Source organism: Homo sapiens, chromosome X (genome assembly GCF_000001405.40).
Source record: "Homo sapiens chromosome X, GRCh38.p14 Primary Assembly".
NCBI classification, from domain to species: Eukaryota; Metazoa; Chordata; class Mammalia; order Primates; family Hominidae; genus Homo; species Homo sapiens.
This window is the reverse complement of record NC_000023.11, coordinates 29,415,005-29,435,718: the sequence shown is the minus strand read 5'-3', so window position 1 is coordinate 29,435,718 and position 20,714 is coordinate 29,415,005. Positions and strand designations below refer to the sequence as shown.

The 20,714-nt window shown below is 35.8% G+C and overlaps 1 protein-coding gene across 3 annotated transcripts in view, besides 1 other annotated feature; it reads right to left on the bottom strand.

Moving 5' to 3' along the window:
* Positions 1 to 20,714, bottom strand: part of IL1RAPL1 (interleukin 1 receptor accessory protein like 1) — a 1,369,273-nt gene that overhangs the window by 521,000 nt on the left and 827,559 nt on the right. The window lies entirely within an intron of this gene.
* Positions 13,266 to 13,767: an enhancer, noted in NCBI's record as "NANOG hESC enhancer chrX:29440069-29440570 (GRCh37/hg19 assembly coordinates)". NCBI's record gives its function as "activates a minimal SCP1, AML or CMV promoter by ChIP-STARR-seq in primed H9 embryonic stem cells {active_cell/tissue: H9 hESC(primed)}" and the evidence as "EXISTENCE:reporter gene assay evidence [ECO:0000049][PMID:30033119]".

Here is a 20,714-nt window from a genome sequence, read left to right as displayed (position 1 = left end):
TTTTCTTTCGTAAATGTAATAGAGAACCATTGCCAACTTTTTGTAGTATGTCACAAGACACATACCATGTTTGAAAATGGTTTAAATAATTTTGACCTTAGCAATTCTATTAATAAAACCACAAATGCATTCATAAATCAAGCAGTTTAAAAACAACGGCACAAAACCACAATGAGGTACCACTTCGCATTCACTAGGATGGCTACAACAATAATAAAACAAACAAAAAACCCAGAAAACAGGAAGTGCTGATAAGAATGTGGAGAAATTGGAAACTTCAAACACTACAAACATACGGATTGTAGTATTTGAATATAAAATGTCCAACTGTTGGGGGAAACAATTTGGCAGTTCCTCAGGAAGTTAAACAGTTACCTTATGATTTAGCAATTTCACACCTATGTATATACCCAAGTAAATTTAAAACATGTTCACATTATCAACTTGTACACAAATGTTCATGGGAGCATTATTCATAATAGCCAAAAAGTGGAAATAACAGAAATGTTCATCAATGTGATGAATGTCTAAACAAAATGTGGTACATCCTTACAATGGAATATTATTTAACCATGAAAAGGAATAGAGCGCTGATAAATGCTACAGTACGTATGAACCTTAAAAATACGCTATTGCATAAGCTAGTAACAAAAGATCACCTATTGTATAATTCTGTTTACATGAAATATTCAGAATAGGCAAATCCACAGACAGAAATTGCCAGGAAATAGGGCAGGAGGTAGAAGAGGCAGAATTCAAAGGTGTGGGGTTTATTTTTGGAGTAATGGAAATGTTCTAGAATTAGACAGTGGTAATGGTTGCACAACACTGTGAATATACTAAAATCCACTGAATTGTACACTTTAAAATGGCTAAAATAGTGTATTTTATATTATGTGAAATCTATTTGGATTAAATAATGCTTTTGTGAACCTAAACTATAAATTAAAACAATAATTGATGAGTATTTTTAAGTATACTCTGTAAGGTATAATGAAATACTATCAAACTATATCGATGATTCTCAACAAAAAGTCCCCAAATCTAAAGCATAATTATTGGCCTTCATTTGTTTTACAAATATATATTATTCCACTCAAAATATTAGGAAAATGTTGGCATTTGCAAAGTATTAAGATGTATCAATAACAAATCTCATAAATAACTTTGGAGAAGTGGACAGCAGATTAGATGGCAAAAAACAGTGTGACAACTATGAAAAGAAGTATTACTTCACATGACCAGCACGTTAAAATATTTGGAATGAGCCTAACTGGAACGAGAGCAATGATCATATTAATCTGATGTGTTCACACTCTCCTGAGTTTTCTCCTTGATTTTTACCTTTCCATAAAATCTGTTTTTTTAAAAAATATCTCTTCATGGACTCATTATATTTTTCTCAGCCTAATGACATTTTACAAAAGAGATAAAGATGAAAGAAATCAAATAAATATGTCAGTTCAAAGTCTATAGAGCAGAAGTGATTGAGAAGGGAACTGAGAAGGTTTATAAATTTCAGTATGAAAAGAATACATTAGAATGTTAGAGCTCTTTTTAAATAAAAGAGAATTATTTATGATAAATAAAAACTGGAAATTATTTAATTTTTTAAAAAAATACCTACACATAAAATTAATATAAAATATCTATTTTATATACAAATATTTTCTATAAAGCTTACATGCATTAATGTATCCATAGTTATCATCATCTTTATTTTTATATGAAGTCAGTTCAGAAGAAAGCAAAAATAATTTGTGAAATGAATAGGCACAGAGCCCTATACAGTTCCCAAAGGCACAACTGTAAAATGCATTCATTACTGTACATGATTATTATCTTTTAGGCAATGTAATTAATAAGGACTACAAAGAAAAAAAGTAAAAAAAAATGACAAAAAGTTACAAGATGAGGGAAATCTTTAAATATGCAAATAGCCAATATGCTTACTTAAAAACTCAATGAATTAGTTATCAAATTAAGGATAAAAGAATAAAGAATTAAAACAATAGTGAAGACTTACTTTGTGTCTATAAGTTTGGCAAAGATTAAACAAATTGATAATACCCTATGTTGTAAACAGGCATTCTCATGCAGTATATGAAAGAATGTATATTGGTAAAATCTTTTGGGAAGATAGTTTGGAAATTTTTATAAAAACAAATTAAATGTATGTGCCTCTCTATCCAGAAATTGCATTTTGAAAAATTATTTCTAAAGACAGCACATCAAATGCACAAATGTGATACGACATGATATTCATCAAAGTATTACTTAAAATATAAAAATCGAAGGAAGAATGTATGTCACAGGAAATTGGTTAAATAAATTATATATACTTGAAAGGGATGATGTCTATATTAATATGGAAACATTTCCATATTGTTATTAAAGCACAAAAACAAATTTTAAAAGCACATAAAATATGGTTAGAAAGATCTCTGGAAGGATGTTTGTCTAAAGGCAAACAGTGGTCACCTCTGTGGTACGGGATTTTAAGTGATTTTTACTTTGTGCTTTAAACCATGCATTTTCAAAGAGGCAATATTATCCTAATGGTGCAAAAACTGGTTCTTGGGTGGGAGCAAACAAATCTTAGATACTGTAAGGGTTTATGGCACCCCAAAAGGCAGCAGTACATAAACAGACATACCATGTATTCATGGTATTAAAATCTCATGGGGAGATGAGGCAGGAAAAAATAACTAAAAAAGCTCCTTAGCGGGGCAGTAATGATTTTTAAAAGGTTGAGAAACACTGCTTTAATCTGTGATTTGCAGTGTCTTATTTTCCACATGTACATTTTTGTTTAAACACACACAAAAAACTACTTTCAATTTGAGAAACAAATCTTCATTTTGAGAAAGAAACAGAAGGCTTGCTACTACATTTTAGGAATATTTCCATCATGAATGATAAAAGTAGAAGGAGAAGTATTATGGTTTAAAAGGGTAAGGCAAGTGATGGCAGGTAAATGAGTCATTGCTATATCTTAGAACATTCATTTAAACCCTTTTAAAAAATCTCTCCACTTATCTATTCCTTTACTCTGCACAGTAAACTTGGAGTCTAAATAATGTCATAGAAAAATTGCACAAGGCAGAGTTAAACAGGCAAGAAAGATTTTATTAAAGACTTGCAATAGGTGACACAGACAGAACTCAATTCCACTAGTACAAAAGGTGGGATAATTTTTAAGTATTGGGGTGAGCTAGTGGAAAAGTACTAGAGGACTTTGTGTAGGGAGAGTTGCTCAAAGAGATGAGGCCATATGTGCAGATTGTCACTTATCTATCAAAGTTAGGCTCCTACTGTCCCAAAGAGCCTGAGAGGTAGGGGTACTATCTTGCTTGATGATTACATTTCAAAGGGCTAGCTCCCAGATCTTTGGGAAAGACATTTCTGGGGTGTAAAACTGGCAAGAGACTGAAAGAAGATTTACACCTTAAAGGGGCAGAGAAAGAATTGACCATTCCATATTTTCTAAAGTGAATGCTCTAAGCAAAGGGAGGTCGGAGGCCAATAATCATGAAAGGATCTATCTAAAGTTAGTCAAGCTGAGGGGAACATTAAGGCTTTCTGGTCAATAAGCACATCTGTAAACCGCTTTCATTCATGAGTCACCTAAGTTATGTGGTTTACTAAAATTATTTTTTTATTGTTGTCCTATGGCTAACAATTAATGCAATGTTCCACAGTGAGTCCAAAAGAGATCAGCTAAGTTCTTATTTAATATGAAACAAACTGAGTTGTAAAAGTTTCTAAAATGTTTAAAGAGTAACATAGGATACTGTTAAAACTTGAAATAAAATATTTTAAGCCTTTAAAAATAGCATTATATACACATTTAAGGGGGCTCCTTCTAATTCCCACTAATGATAATTTGCTGTGGTAGTACTTAACATAATATTTCTTATTAGGAAGACTTCACTTTTCCTTTTCTTTTTTCTTCTTTCAAACCCTCTGCTACTTTTTCTAATTAGGATAAATGTAGTAGCAAAAAGGGAATGATGTTGGTAATGGGAAAAAAAATTACAGAGGTTTTGAGAATCTTTAAAATATTTTCTCCTATTTAAGCATTACATTTGTGAATTATAATATTATTAACGCTTTAGACATATACTTAGATAATATGAACCAAAATATCAAGAGAAAAGGAATAATATATTTTCTTGATTACAAGCGGATAATCGAATAAATGTATGCTGATAATTCTGGGCTAGTGTGTTCATCACCAAGCACCTTGTGTGAGGATGAAATACTTATTAACATGCGTACTGCAGCACAAGAAATCTACTAAACAAAAAGTCATTAGCATACCTTGAAGAATCTCAGTGTTCCATGTAGTTCTTAGCTCACTATGACTATTTATTTGCAATATTCTATGTGCTTTTTTATTAGCATGGTCTTCAATCAAAAAAGGAAGATGTGAATGTTTTTAATGTGAATATTTTGAAATGAGAATTACTGAGGTAGAGCACATTCAAGTCAGACTTCATACACTGTAAAATCTGAATACTCACATGCAAAATTGCTGCAAACAGCACTTTGAGTTTTCGGGACAGTTCATTATGGTAGGCTCTGCTGCCTATGTAATCTTGAAGGCAGCAGAAAAACTGCATTGTGTTATATTGTAGACCGCATCATAATTGAGTGCTACTGCTGTGTTTGTGGCTTCCAGAAAAGTTATTAACAGCAAACAGTCTGTCAGATAGTTACAAACATGGATCACGCAGATATTTATTTTAATTTGCTAGAATTCGCACCCTAGTATAATCATTCTATTCTCCTTGGTATTTGGGGGATGTTATCTTTACTATGACATCTATAGCACATCTAACATCTTATTAATAGACAAACCTATACATTTACCAAGAGTTTCTCTTCTGATCTCTTTTTCATGTTAATTATTTTAATTATTTTATTACAAGAAATGAAAATATAGGTTTATATATACATATACACACACGAAATACAAATATATAGATTATAAGTATACATTAGACTTATTTACATATATACACACACACATTTATATATCTATCATGTAATTTATGTAGATACAGACCAAATCAACCTTATATACATAACATACACATACACACACACACACACACACACATATATATATATACACATATATAAAGTGTCATATATTTTACACTGAAATACAGACTAGCCCTATTCCTTATATTGTGCCTTTGAACAATAAAGAAACAGAAAGCCTAACAAAGATTTGTATGTACTAATAGTAGAACCACCCTGTGGTGGAAATCTGAGGACCCATTTTCTCCTATACACAGTCAGAAACACAGTTAAACCTAATGGAGAAGAGGCCTGTCCATTTCATAGAAAAATTATTTTTCGATGAAACATTTTTACCACTCTCTACCTTGGATGCAGTGACTACTCCACAGCACTTGCTCTCCAAGATTCTGTTTACCTGTCGTAGGTGAGACAAGGTATGGGGATATGGGTAGTAAGGGGACCCCAGGAAGTTTGTGTTATTTTTATTTTTCCATTTTTATAGTCCATGCAACTACAAACCTTTGGAATAAAATGACTACACGTTGGGGGAGAGAGAGAGAGACAGACAGAGAGAGACATAAAACAAGATTAAGTCTCTACTTAGATGTTAAAAGACAATTCTTGACTGTATGCAGTGGCTCATGTCTATAATCCCAGCACTTTGGGAGGCTGAGGAGGGAGGACTGCTTGAGGCCAGAAGTCCAAGAGCAGAGCAGCCTGGGCAACAGAGCAAGACCACATCACTATTTAAAAAAAAAAATACACACACACACACACACACACACACACACACCACACACACACACATATATATACACTATAATTATATATATGACAAGTCTTTATGTAAATGAATGACTGATATGAGGTTCATTTCTATTTCTGAGCACCACCTACACAACGAATTTCTGAGCAATGCAACACTGAAGAGGAGTCTAGAGATGTACTTGTGATTCTTTAATAAATAGTCTGATGGGGCCAGAGAGGTGAGATCTGGAGAAAGAAAAAGTAACTCACTGATTACTGAGGAAGAGAATAGGAGTTTATTTTTCTTCATGTCTCTATCCTGGCTCCCTTTGCTTTTCATTTTCTGAAGTGCTACCACTGAAAATATCTCAAGGGTTGACTACTGGGCATGAAAAGAATCCGTGATTAAGGAGGGAACTGAGAGACCACTTCCATTTAGGAGTGAAGACTGAGGCAAAGAGAAGGAAAGAAAAGGTGGAAATACCAAGCTACAGAAGGAGGGAAGGAAGTTAACAAGGTTTTTCTCAAATGGCTATTTGTAAGTACCACTTGTATTCCAAAACTAAATTGTGTTGCCAATTGTGTATTGTTTTCTTAAATTCCTCCAGTAGCTGTTAATTCGGGGCCTAATATAAGTGGGGCTTTGAGGATCCTACTCTCAGGTCTAGTGGAACAGACAGACTGCTACTTACTCTGTAGTATGGGGACAGGGAGCAGCACTGGCATCACTCTGAATCAGAATCTGCATTTTAACAAGATCTCCAGATAATTCCTGTGTGTACTGAAGTTTTGGAAACATTTCTTTAAAGGTATCACTATAAAAGTGTTTGAAACAAATGTGCCCTGACATTATGAAAGGACAAAGGGGGAGTCACTTAATTTGAGGGTTAAGGGAAGAGTTCGCCTTGGAGTTATAAATTAGAATCAAAGAATACATTGGAGTTAATCAAGTGAATGTATATGGTGTGGTTGGATAGTGGTCTTGGCAGAGAGAATATTCCTCAATATACACTAAAGAAAGTTCAATTTTGGGAAGTTAAAGTGTAATAAGGTAAATGGAGACAGATGATGGTAAGGGGTATGAGTGGGGGCTACTGATTGACGGTTTGGTAAACCAACTAAGGATTTGGGAATTTATCCTTTGGGTAATGTGGAGTGAGTCACTGATTGCTTTTAAGCATCTGGTTTCAGAGGGCAGAGAATGGTGTGAAGCAGGTGGCAGCAGAAAAATGCCTTCATCTTTGTCCATGGGACACAATTTCTTCAGGTCTAGGATTGAATAATTTGTATCTTAGTTCTTCTTGTTTCAGGAATACAAAAAAGTCAGTATAGTCTTTACATAGTCTTAGAAAGTTTTTACTCATTTTTTTTTTGTTCCTAAAGTTTTTTTTTAACAAAGCAAATATTAGTAGTAATTTGTGTGATGATAGTTCCAGTCGGCATGGACCTCACAAAGAGGCCACTGCTTGCTCTTTTCTCCTCAACTTCAAGGCAGCAACAGATGAAAGCCATAACAGTATAAAAGTCATAGCGGAACATCTAGATTAATGTCATTTAATGCTTTATATTTAAGATATTTAATATCAGTTTCAATACAATTTTCACACTATCCGGTGCAATCCCTACTGCAAACCTTTAAACTCAGCCTGCCTTATCTGTAAACCACATACTTACTAGAGTATAAATTTGTCACCAACTTCTATGGCTGTTGAAAGCCTTTGTTGAGGTAAATGAGCACTGCCATTGTCATCCAGACACACACCAACCTTGCAGGCTTTAAAACAGCTTGTACTTCAATCTAGATTTGAATTCCTGGGTGGTTGTCTCTGCTCTTAAATACTTGTGACTGAAACTGCCTTTGTGAAATTATTACAGTGAAATAAATCTAACATAGGTGACTCCATTGTGCTTCTAAACTCACAAGCTAACTGCCCTTGCTCATTCCTGGATGTAGGCCCAGATAACTACGGGAGGAATTTAGTTTACAGTTTAAATTTAAAGCAAGGATGATAACAGTCCCTTCCCCTCCTTGTTCAGACTGAAACCACCTTTGTAAAGCTAATGAAAGGCCACAAGCTTAGACTTATGGGAGGAGCATGAATTCTGCTAAGATGCAAGCATAGTTAAACAATAACCTACCCTTGGTCCCAAGCTTGTTTTCTATAATTACTTACTGCTCAGGAGTCAAGTGGCCAGAGGTCACAAGATTTATAACTTCTCCAGTTGCTTCCCAAGACTGGTCTTGGATATAATTTTCAGACATTTTTGCATCCTGGCAGACAAACTGATGCCACCTGAACCTGGGACCCATACCAAGGAACTGACTTGACTGGTCCTGTGATGACCTCAAACCAGAAACTGACTCAGTGCACAAAGACAGTTTCAACATCCCTATGGTTTGATTCCCAGCCAATCAGTAGCACCTACTCCCTAGCTCCCTGTCCATCAAATTATCATTAAAAACCCTAGTTTCTGAGTTCTTGTGGAGGTCGATTTGAGAAATGCATACTATCCTTCAGCTCAGCTGCTTTGTGAGAATTAAACTCATCCTCTACTGCAACACTGCTGTCTCAGTGTATTGGCTTTACTGTGCAGTAGGCAAGAAGAACCAATAGGGTTTGTCACACCTCTGGGCTGTCCATACTTAGTAGTGATAGGGAACCATCTTTGTTTTTTTACTTCAGTCTTATGCCTGTTACTTCTTTACTGATTTGTTTGATCTCTGGTTCATACACCTTGACTCAGATATTTCAGACAGGAACACTTAAGCTCAGCTGAAGCTCCCTGGAACCTAACAACCATACGGGGCAAATAAGTCAAGACAATGTTAACACCCCCATGTTCCACACAAATGAGAAATAATAGAAAATGTTCTTAATATTTTGGTGATCCAGATTCCTTATACCAGGGAAATAATATGCAAATCTTTTTTTTTTTTTTTTAAAAAGGTTTTTAAAATCCAATTATCAAAACTGCCATTCTGTGGTCTCAAATAAAATGCAAATTTTATTTTAGAGACTAAGAAGTATAATGGGAGGCACAAAAGAGATTTCCAAATTTATGATTAAAAGAAACTTACATGTAAATTTAATTAAGAGCAAACTAATACTCCTAATTTTCTGTAGTTTTTGTTTAGCATACAAAATCATAATGACATTTTGAGTACGGCTATTCACTTGAGAAAGAGAGTATGATTTCATTGTCATCATAATCATCAATCGTCATAGCTAACACTTATAAAATAGTAGCTCTGTATACCTTTAAAATAGTTTACATGTATTAATTTATTTAATCTTCACAATAATCCTCTAAGGAAGTTCTGATTGCCTTTACATTTCAGATGAAGAAACTAAGTCAACGGGTAGTTAAATATTGTTCCCAACATTACACGTATTAGGTAGCACAGCTGCCCTTGAGTAGTCTTGAAAATGTGAGTAATTGATTCCAAGTAGAATGGCTTAGAGGACTTTTAAAGTCAGAGAGGTCTGAGTTCAAAACTTGGCTCAAGGCCTAAAGTACAACTGCTTGGTCAAAGAGATTAACTTCTCAGAACTGTAATTGGTTCGTTTGTAAAATAGAAACCATATCTTCTACTAATAGGTTCCTGGGAGGATGAAAAAGGATGTGAAAGTGCCTACCATCAGTTCAGGGACACAGGATGGCCTCAGTAAAGGTTAATTGCTTTTATTATTATATTACATTTCTAATAACATCTCTGTTGGTTAGAGCAATCAGGGTTTCTTCCCAAAATATGATTTATAGAAGATGAATTTAGTTCAATTATTTACATTTCAAAGTTATAAATATTTTCAATAAAATTTAGAACCATGTACTATGTATTCCTGGGCTCACTGGACTGAGTGTATTGAATCATAAGATAATTATTAGGAAAAACAATGATAGCTGTGATTTATAGAAGTAAATGCAAATGTATCTGGCAAAGGGAAAAGGGAAGGAGAGTTGAATGTGTGTTGGATTCAGCAACTGTCCTCAACTCTGGAGGGCTAAACTGTACTAGTTGAGATGTCTTCAGGGTAGCTCAGGGTTGCTCTTAAAAGCTAATCCAGGCCAGGCACGGTGGTTCATGCCTATAATCCCAGTACTTTGGGAGGCTGAGGCGAGTGGATCACTTGAGCCCAGGAGTTCGAGATTAGCCTGGGCAACATGGTAAAACCCTGTCTCTACAAAAAAAAAATAGCTGATTGTGGTGGTGTGCAACTGTAGTCCCAGCTACTTGGGATGCTGAGGTGGGCGGATTGCTTGAGCCCAGGAGGCGGAGGTAGCAGTGAGCCGTAATCATGCCACTGCACTCCAGCCTGGGCGACAGAACCAGACCCTGTCTCAAAATAATAATAATACTTTTTTTTAAAAAAGCTAATCCAGCAGGCATTTTCCAAATCCCCCAAAAACTTCACAGACCTGTGATAGTCTCATTGACAGAGATATGAACCAGAGAAACCTGGGCCTACAAAGATAACAGTGTTAAATTTAACCCTAATCTCCACCCCATCCTCATTCTCAAAAAAAACAGAAAGCAGACAAACAGTGGGCCCTTCTGTCTTGACTAGCTCCATTGTTTTGTTCCCTGCCCTCAGAACCTTTCCTGTTATCGCCACTCTGCTTTGTCAAGCTCCATTGGCTGCTGTTGTTTCTTGTGCACCATATCCAAACTTGGACTTTCTGTTTTTCTAAGTTCTTCTATGTCCAGCTGCTTCTCTTATGTGTATGTGTTGGAGTCCATTATTTTGGAATGTGAAAAATGGATGCATGTCTTCTTGCTCTTGTCCAAGCAGTTTTATTCCATTCCCTTTGGTATAAAGGGAAAGTCTGAAGTCATGAAAAGAGGCTAAAATGGCTCTGTCAGGCTTACAGTGGCTTCATAAGTTGGAGTCCCTGTTGTACTTCTTACTAGGAGTATCATCAAGTGACTTAAACTCTGAGGGATTCAGATTCTTTGTCTGTAAAATGGGGAGGATAATTGTAACTGTATCATCAGATGACTGTGAAGATTAAATGAACTGATAGTTTTTAACTTTAGAAAAGGAACTGGCAGTTCAAAAAGGGTAACCATCACCATTTATTAGTGCGTTCCTTCATAATGTCAACATCCCAGCTAAACGAAACCTTCCCATGAATATCTCTTTCTTTAAGAAGTCCTAACTGAGTTTTCCTCCCATACCCAAGACAATGTTGAACTTTACCCAAGACCAATGATCTTGGAAAACAGTGAAGTTTAATAAATCCCCACATCCTTTTGTGTTTTGGGAAATGGCTTACTGCACAGAACCACCCTGCTTCACAGTTGTTCCCCTGGCTTGCCTATGACAGGGCCATACAAAAAGACTCAAAATTCCCACTCTTTGCCTCATAGATAATTATGAACTGTTTTGCCCCAAGTGATCAATCAGAATATAATGCTTCTTAAAGAAAGACGGTTAACATTCTGTCCTTCCTCTAGATCCCTGAGCTTTGCACCACCTTAGCCTGAGGCAACATACAATCCCTCTTAATAGCCCCCTTCCAGAGACTATACTGGCTTTAGGATTAAATATTCTGGGGTCCACTGTCACATCTTGCCACTCCTTTTCATCCCACTTCCCTACATCTGCTTTTTTTTTTTTTCTTTCCAGCCTTGTTTACTCTTCCCTATGAAAGAAAAATCCTTTTGCCTAACTTTGAAAGGCTTGTAGATCTTATAGTTAGAGTAGCTTCCCAATTGCAATAGTCTCCCCACCTTACAAAGTCTGGATTTTTATTTTTAATTTGACATTCCCAGTCCAGATTTCACTCTCTTTCAAGGACAAATTCAAATTCCACTTGGGCAGGAAACTTTTCATGATCATCTCAGAATTCCCACCACCCTTTATGATCATTCATCTCATACCACTTTTCATCTTGCACCCTATTGTGTGCATAATTTACCTCTTCTGCTCAATAATATCTGCTCGAAGAGGTCTCTGCCTGATTCATCCTTTGATTTTTCACACTGTCCAGGACAGCACATCAATAAGAACTCAGTCAATTTTTGTAAAGGGAATGAAGAATGAATTTAGTACATCTACACTGTCTATCAAATTGAAGTACAGGGTAAAATGCAGTCAACAAATAGTACACTCTAAACTAGTATGTCATCTATGAGCCAGTTTAAATTAGATAGTATATGCAAGGTGCTTAGAGTGGTGCATATAGTAGACATTCAATAAATGCTAGTAATCATCATCATGATTAACATCATCAAATTCTCATCTGCCTTAAAGAGATGCTCATGTAATTGAGAATACCCAACTTATATAATCATTATGACTGAAACTAACCAGGGAATATTAATTGAATTGTTTTTATCTATCTTATAAAATTTAAGTTATAATTTTACCATGGTTTGAATCACAGTAATAAAATTTGACTGTGACAAACTATTCTGGCGTTGACACCAGAATAGATGTATCGCTAACCTATATTGTTTTCAGTTGTAAACCAAAAAGTATCTGAGACAAGTCTCAATCAATTTAGAAGTTTCTTTTGCCAAGGTTGAGGACATGTCCATGACACAACCTCAGGACATCCTGACAATACATGCCCAAGGTGGTTGGGCTACAGCTTGGCTTTATACGTTTTAGGGAGACAAAAGACATAAATCGATAAATGGAAAATGTACTTTGGTTTGGTCCAGAAAGGCAGGACAACTTGAAGCCATTGTGTGTGTGTTGTGGGGGTGCTTCCAGGTAGTAGGTGGATTCAAAGATTCTGTGATTAGCAATTGGTGGAAAGAATTTATCTAAGACTTGGAATCAATAGAAGGAATGTCTGGGTTAAGATAAGGGATTATAGAGACCCAAATTCTTATTATGCAGATGAAGCCTCCAGGTAGCAGGCTTTAGAGGGAATCAGTTGTAAATGTTTCTTATCAGGCTTAAAGAGTCTAGTTCTGTCAGTCTTCAGGTCTCTGTTTTAATGCTAATGCTGGTTAGCCTAAATATCAAAGGGAGGAAAGTATAATGAGGCATATCCAACCATCCATTTCATCAAGGCCTGAACTAATATTTCAGGTTTCCTTTATAATGCTCTTGGCCGAAAGGAGGGGTCCATTCTGTTGGTTGTGGGGCTTAGACTTTTATTTTTGGTTTACATAGGTTTTTCATCTTGTAGTTGTTTTAATGCAACAGAGGGAGGAAACTAGCATTTACAGAGAGTTTATTACAGGCTAGGTAATGTACCAGGTGCCTAAATATAATTTAACTCTCATTACCATTTTATATAAATGAAAGAAATTAACTCTAAAAGTCAACTTGCCCTTGGCATTTTAGAAAAAGAAAAAAATATCATTTAGATTGCAACCCAGGCATCATTAGCTTTCAGAGATTTGCTCTTTAAAGAATAGCTTTCTGCCTTACCTAACACTATGAAGAGATATACCATTTGGGAAATCTGCTAAAATCAGAATAGTGTAAACTTTTAAACACTTTACTGTATTAGAAACTTTCAGCCTTGAAAGGAACTGTAGGGTTCTGTAGCCTATGATGGGGTTCAAAAACCGATACCCCAAATATGGCACTTTAACATGCTGAACTGAAAAAGCAGTCTCATAGCCTCTCTGATTCCCTCCCTCTCCCCGCCCGCAAATGACTCTCTCAAGCCAGGAGGAAGCTGTTCTTTGAAGTTCTTTTATATGTCTAAAGTCCAAACTCACCAAAAAGGATAACTGTTGTTTCTTCCCCTCTGTGGAAGACTAACCTGTCTCTCAGGCTCATTCAAATTCCAAAGAGAACTATTTACAACTTAATTAATCTCTGCTCCCAGATGGGTTCTGTTCTCCCTAAGGATCCTTTATTGTCCCTCACCAAAATTCCTCTTCTCTCCACTCCCATAACCTGTTTGACCAGGATGGCATATAAGCTTCTGAACTCCACTGGCAAGATGGGTAACCACCCTGGTTCTCCTCATGCACACGTTAATAAATGTATATGTCTTTTTTCCAATTAATCTGCTTTCTGTGAGTTGATTTTTCAGGGTATCTTCAGAGGGTGAAGGCGAAGTCTTTACCTTGCCTCCCAAACATACAAGTAAGAATTAAAATATTTGCCTAAGTCCTGTACCAGGCTGCAAACAGGACTATAACTGAAGTCACACCACTCGAATTCAGACTCTTTTCTATGGCACTGGCTTACGTGATTTATAAAATCCATTCTGTATCATTTTTGGGGAATTTGAGTTGTTTCTCATATTGTACTATTATGGATAATACTACATTAAAGGACAGCTTAATGAGTTGCTTCTCCATCTTACACACTAATGCTTAGAAAATATGCCCTTCCCAGACCAGAGATTTTTTTTTTCTCTCTCTCTCTTATGGCTTAGTCTCTTTCCCTTCTGCCTTCTTTGCCAGATTTTTTTTTCTGTTACTCTCTTATTTTTCCTGTGTATGTTTTTTGCTAGCATCAGTCTTCTAAGTGAGACAGCCAAGTAATAAAGGAGAAAGGGGTTCTTGGAGAACCTACAACTGGCCTGCAAACTGGGAGAACAGGGGTGGGGGTATGTGTGGGAGTGTGGAGATGAGGGAAGTTCATGCCCTTTGCAGCGGGGAGGAGCCTGGCCTCTCCTGTTCTGGGGTGGTAACCCTGGGATTCGTTTGGTGAGGTGGAGAGCCCCTTAGCAGGACCCCATCTCACTTTGCTGTGTTGTTTTTCCTTTTTCCTTTTTGCCCAATAAATTCCATTTTTCCCACCCTTCTACTGTGTCTAGGAACCTAATCTTTCCTGGTCATGTGACAAGAACCTGGTTTCTAGCTGAACTAAGGAAAAAGTCCTACAACACAAGTTTCCTTAATGTTCTAATTTATGTTTTTCACATTGTGAATCTTTTTGAAGCTTTTGACTTTAAAACATTTTCCTGTGTTTTATGAATGAATTACCAGAGCTGTGCATGCTTTTAAAAACACTTCAATTGACCCTATATAAAGAATAAATTTTGTGCTGACTTAAGAAGAAAACCCTATCATCAGAATTATTTTGAAGAGAGAACAGTTGTTATGGCTCATTAGGATTATTACCTACTAATTCAAGAACAATGAATATACAAAGACTTTCAAGTAAAATAGTTATATTTTAAATTATTTTTATAAATATGCTGAAAGCTCTCAAATAATTACTAAGAAGTTTGTGATAAAGACTAAAATCACATTTAGCTATCTACAATAGCATATATTTCTAAAATACATTCCCAACTCAGCTTTTGCTTATTAAACATTTCAAAAGTACTTATTAATCATCTTTTCTCTCTATGCTAAATAATGCTGAAGACAAAGTCGTGGCTCGAGGGCCTTACAGGCTAGTGTGAAAGAGTAGGAATATATCCAATTGGCCAAATCACTGTGGAGGGGAAAGAAAAAAGTGTCAAAAAGCAAACTGACCACTAAGGAAAATGGGACTGTCCAGATCTAGGAGAGAGGACTGAAGGTTGACCAGAAGAGATGGGTTTTTGATTTGGCTGTTGAAAAATGTATAGACTGAACATTCAGAGATCTGGTAAGTGCATAGCAGATGGAGAAACCGTGTAGAAAGAAGCATTCAAACAGGAAAGTGGCAGCTGTGTAGCTTAGCAGTTTCAGTTCTAGACCATTTGTGACTTTACAATAAATTTCTCTTTTATTCAAATGACTTTGCATTGGTAAAACTTGCCTAACACTGCTATTTAGGGTAAGGCTTTCTGCCATTCAAGTAAACCTCACCATTTCAGTGATTTAATTTAACTGAGACTCATTTTTCACTCCTGAAGTCATTCAATGACAGTCTTTCTGGTCAGTGACCAAATTCCCCCCATTATGTGATTTAGAGACCTGGGCACCTTCCATCTGTTAAAACCTTGCCATTGTCTGCATCCAGTAATTGATGGAGAAAGAAAGACAGGGAAAAAGCATATCTACTTCGTCATTACATTGGCTCAGAAATGACATTCCTTCCCTTATACTCATTGATAAGAACTAGTCACATGGTTCCACCTAGAAGCAAGAGGGGCTGGGAAATTGAATTTCTGGCTGAGCAGCTGCTCCACAGCAACAGCTCTATACTAACCAACAAGAGTCTCCTCTGCCACACCCACCCACTAGAAACTATTTCCAAAGTACAGAAATACATATAAAAAAAATCTTAAACTCCTATTGAAGGTACATTTGGTATGTTTACATGACAGAGCAACAGCTGCACTGAAGTGGAAGATTTAACCACTACTAACTGAGCATTGTTGAAATACTCTGTAATTATGCTCTAGAACTCTGAATGTTATGAACAAACAAAAAAAGCACACATTTTAAAAATTATCTGAGTAGGCCGGGCACGGTGGCTCATGCCTGTAATCCCAGCATTTTGGGAGGCCGAGGCAGGTGAATCACCTGAGGTCAGGAGTTCAAGACCAGCTTGGCCAACATGGTGAAACGCCATCTCTACTAAAAATACAAAAATCAGCCAGGCCTGGTGGTGGGCACCTGTAATCCCAGCTACTTGGGAGGCTGAGACTGGAGAATCACTTGAACCTGGGAGGCAGAGGTTGCAGTGAGCCGAGATCATGCCATTGCACTCCAGCCTGGGTGATAAGAGCGAAACTCTGGCTCAAAAAAAAAAAAATTATCTGAGTAATTTTCCTGGAATTAATGACTAGAGATTATTTGAATGAGAAGAAGTATATGTCATTACGTATATGTAATTAATTATTTTGTCTTACTTCCTACATATTTCTTTTCTGCAAACTAACTGCCTGGCCTTTGTTTCAGTCCTTCATCCGCCATCCAGAAGAGTGCATCTCAAACTATCTGGGTTAAAGATCTACTTCACTGTATTATTTCCAATCTTCATTTTGAACAGCACCAGAAGTAGCTATAACTTCTTAACTTCATCATAAACAACAAATACAGATCTTTAAAGAACACATTCATTTATACAATTAGATTTTATAAATAGCTTGCGAAAGTATAAAATTATTGCTCTGAGTGTAATTTTATTTCTTACTAAATGTTTATCAAACGACAATGTTGAAAAAATGACACATGAAAAGGCAGGTCAACACTATTGGGTTTATTTAACTCAAAGACAAATTAGATTAACATAAAATGATCTGATTATATACCCCAAATGGAAAACATCATCCAAACTACTTCATTGTATTTGTATTCACCTTTTGTTTTAATTTAATTTTAGCAATGTCATAACCAACTAATGAATAGTAAATAGCTTACTACCTATTTGCTGCCCCCATAATATATTGTTTTAATATTAATGGTTATTTTTCATATATCTTCTACTTCACTTCCTTCATGTTTGGTGCTGATAACTATTATTGACTTATTATTCTGAAAGAGTTATATCATTAACTAGCTCAATTACGCCATAGCAACAATATCTAATTGGAAAAATTCTGTTTTCAGGTTACATTTTGAGTAGTGGACTTATAAAAGTTGATACACAGAAACATGATACATTGATAACCAAGTTTGCTTTTAAAGGTTTAAAATATATTTTATTTTTTTGGCCGGGCGCAGTGGCTCACGCCTGTAATCCCAGCACTTTGGGAGGCTGAGGTGGGCAGATCAGGAGGTCAGGAGTTTGAGTCCAGCCTGACCAACATGGTGAAACCCCATCTCTACTAAAAAAATACAAAAATTAGTGGGGCGTGGTGGCGTGGGCCTGTAATCCCAGCTACTCAGGAGGCTGAAGCAGAAGAATCGCTTGAAACCTGGGAGGCAGAGGTTGCAGTGAGCCGAGATCATGCCACTGCACTCCAGCCTGGGCGACAGAGCAAGACTCCATCTCAAAAAAAAAAAAAAAAATATATATATATATATATATATATATATATATATATTACTTTTTTAAAAAGAACACGTTTCTCTGTGCTTCTCTCATCCTTAAATTGACAGCACAAGCCTCAATTTTAAAATAAAAGCTCAGTGTGTGCTTTATAATCATAGGTAAAATTTTGAAAACCAAAATATTTAAGTAAATATTAGAAATTAGAAGACTCTGAGGGTGGGTAATAGAAATAGTAGCATTTAAATTCATGTGTAGAGTATGCTTCAAGATTTGGTGAATAAAGCAAATATGTTCTTCAAATGATGGCAGTATGTAAACAGAACATAATTATCTAATGGAACTTTAACAATAAGTACTCATTAAAGGTTCCAAAATTTCTATCATTACCATCAGAAGACAGTAGTGACTATATACAGCATTTCTGTTTTAAAAATAATATTCACAAAAGTTGTATTTTTTTCTTCCCTGAGAAACATATTGCAATTATCACTTGAGACATTGTCCACGATATTTGTAAACAATCTTTGATGCCATTTATATACCAGAATTCCTGGTGGATATGTTGGAGTGGAACCCGATGATCAACCCAACAAATGATAAAGAAATATACAGTAAGGTCTTCTAATTAAGGCACAGAGTAAGCTACTTCTTTACATCTTACATAGAATTCATAATGTCTTTAATTTGCATATTCATATTGAACTGCCCATTTACAGTTCATTGGATTTTTAGGTCCTCCAGATGGAACAAGAGATGCTAATATAATGACTAAAAGACTTGGTCAAGCATTTTAAGAAATGAAAACATTAAATCTCTTATGATGCAAAAGTTATATATTTTGACATGAAAAAAACCAACTCCATTTTCATGCAGTTTTCTCAAAAATAGTTTTTAGAAATTCTTCTAAATATATGTTACAAAATATCTACATCAATTGCAAGTTAAGAGTTACCTCTTGGTTTTATCATCAAGAAAGAGCCTTCAATATTGTGATAAAGGCAAGGGAAAACTAACCCTGGGATATAATTAGTGGACCTTTTCATAGTGTAAGAGTAATAGAAGCTCTTTAAAATAGTTTGAACAGTTTAAAAATAGCATTCATTATTTTAAATTCCTTTATGTAATTATTAAACTGTCATATCAAAACCTAATGTTTTGATTTTTTAAATTGCTCCCTATTTTTTAAACTACAAAATATTAGGAAAAATGAACCATAAAAATTTTAACATAATAAAAAAATTACTAGAGTCTCAGTGACCTTCCTCCAATTTGTCTATGCCTGAACATGCCTCAAATGGGTTTCTGTCATATTTTTAAAACCTCCAAAGAATACAGCACCAAAAGTCTTCCCTATTATTGAGCAGTGTTTTTTGTTTGTTTGTTTTTTCCAGGAACTATCCTTAAATGCTAAAATCACAGAGCAATAAATTTAATCAATATTTTTTAAAAAACAATTTGTAAATCCTCATGAAACTCATTACCTGCTGGATTTTTAATGTAGTCACCCTTTGCTGCTCTTCCATTATTCTGAACACTTCCAGTACTTAACATCTTATTATGGCACATCATTGAGGTTTTCGTTGTTGTTTGTTTGTTTGTTTGTTTTGAGACGGAGTCTAACTCTGTCGCCCAGGCTGGAGTGCAGTGGCGCGATTTTGGCTCACTGCAACCTCTGCCCCCCCAAGTTCAAGTGATTCTCATGCCTCGGCTTCCCGAGTAGCTGGGACTACAGGTGTGTGCCACCACACCCAGCTAATTTTTGTATTTTTAGTAGAAACAAGGTGTCACCATGTCTCGAACTCCTGATCTCAGGTGATCTGCCTGCCTCGGCCTCCCAAAGTGCTAGGATTACAGTCGTGAGTGAGCCAATGCGCCCAGCCCAGAGTTTTTTAAAATCCAAATAATAGTAATATTCTCAGTTCCTTTAACCTTTCCTATTTTGTAAACCTCTAGTTATTAGTGTACCATTATCCACATTTCTACCTAAGTTCTCACTGTTCCTGGTAATCTGGTGTCTAGGAAAGAAGAAAAACAAATCTGAGACCCCATTAAGTATAATACACAAAGTGAGTATAATAAGAAATTAGCTTGTGGTTTTATTTTTTTTCTTAATCTTGCATACATTAAGCTGTCAGAGTTTAGTTTGTTAACAAAAACTCCCATATTGAAGGAGTAGCATGGTTATACTGCTATTGCAGTGACTCAATTGTTGATTCTATGCACTGTTGTTCATTTTGAAAAATAACATAATAGAAATTTATTCAAATTAATAATGGGATGATACAACATCATTAAGTCTAATGGGAACCTACTGCTTAAACAAATCAACTTGGTTTTATTTATACCAAGTAACAAATTTCTTGCCACTAAGTGGCAAAAATAAAATTAAAACTATAAGAGCTGTATATATAAAATTGGTTTAATGGCTGGGCGCGGTGGTTCACGCCTGTAATCCCAGCACTTTGGGAGGCCAAAGTGGGTGGATCACAACGTCAGGAGTTCAAGACCGTCCTGACTAAAACGGTGAAACCCCACCTCTACTAAAAATACAAAAAATTAGCCGGGCGTGGTGGCACGCGCCTGTAATCCCAGCTACTTGGGAGGCTGAGGCAGGAGAATCACTTGAACCCGGGAGGCAGAGGTTGCAGTGAGCCGAGATTGCACCACTGCACTCCAGCCTGGGCAACAGAGCGAGACTCTGTCTCAAAAAAGAAAAAAAAAAACAAAATGGTTAATAATTCTCTATCCAATGAAAATACATATTTATAGATATATATTATATAGATCTATGTATACACACATTCACGTGCATGTAGATATAGGCATCATCACACTGAGACATCTAATTCACTTATTAAACCATAAAGAAATGTATCTCACTCAATATCACATAAGTTTTAAACAGTTTTTAGTGGTGACACTAGATGCTAAGTTTAGTCTTCATATTTTAACGAGTTTGCATGGAATAATGAACTAAATGCTTTTAGCTCTGAGGTTACAGTCATCTTTATTAATGGTACCTAGAGACTTAATTGTCATAAAATATGTTGGAATCTTTCTTCAAGATTCTAGATCCTTATTATGTTATATTTTACTCTTAAAACTTTTACTTTTAGATGTGTAGTCATCTAACCTCAC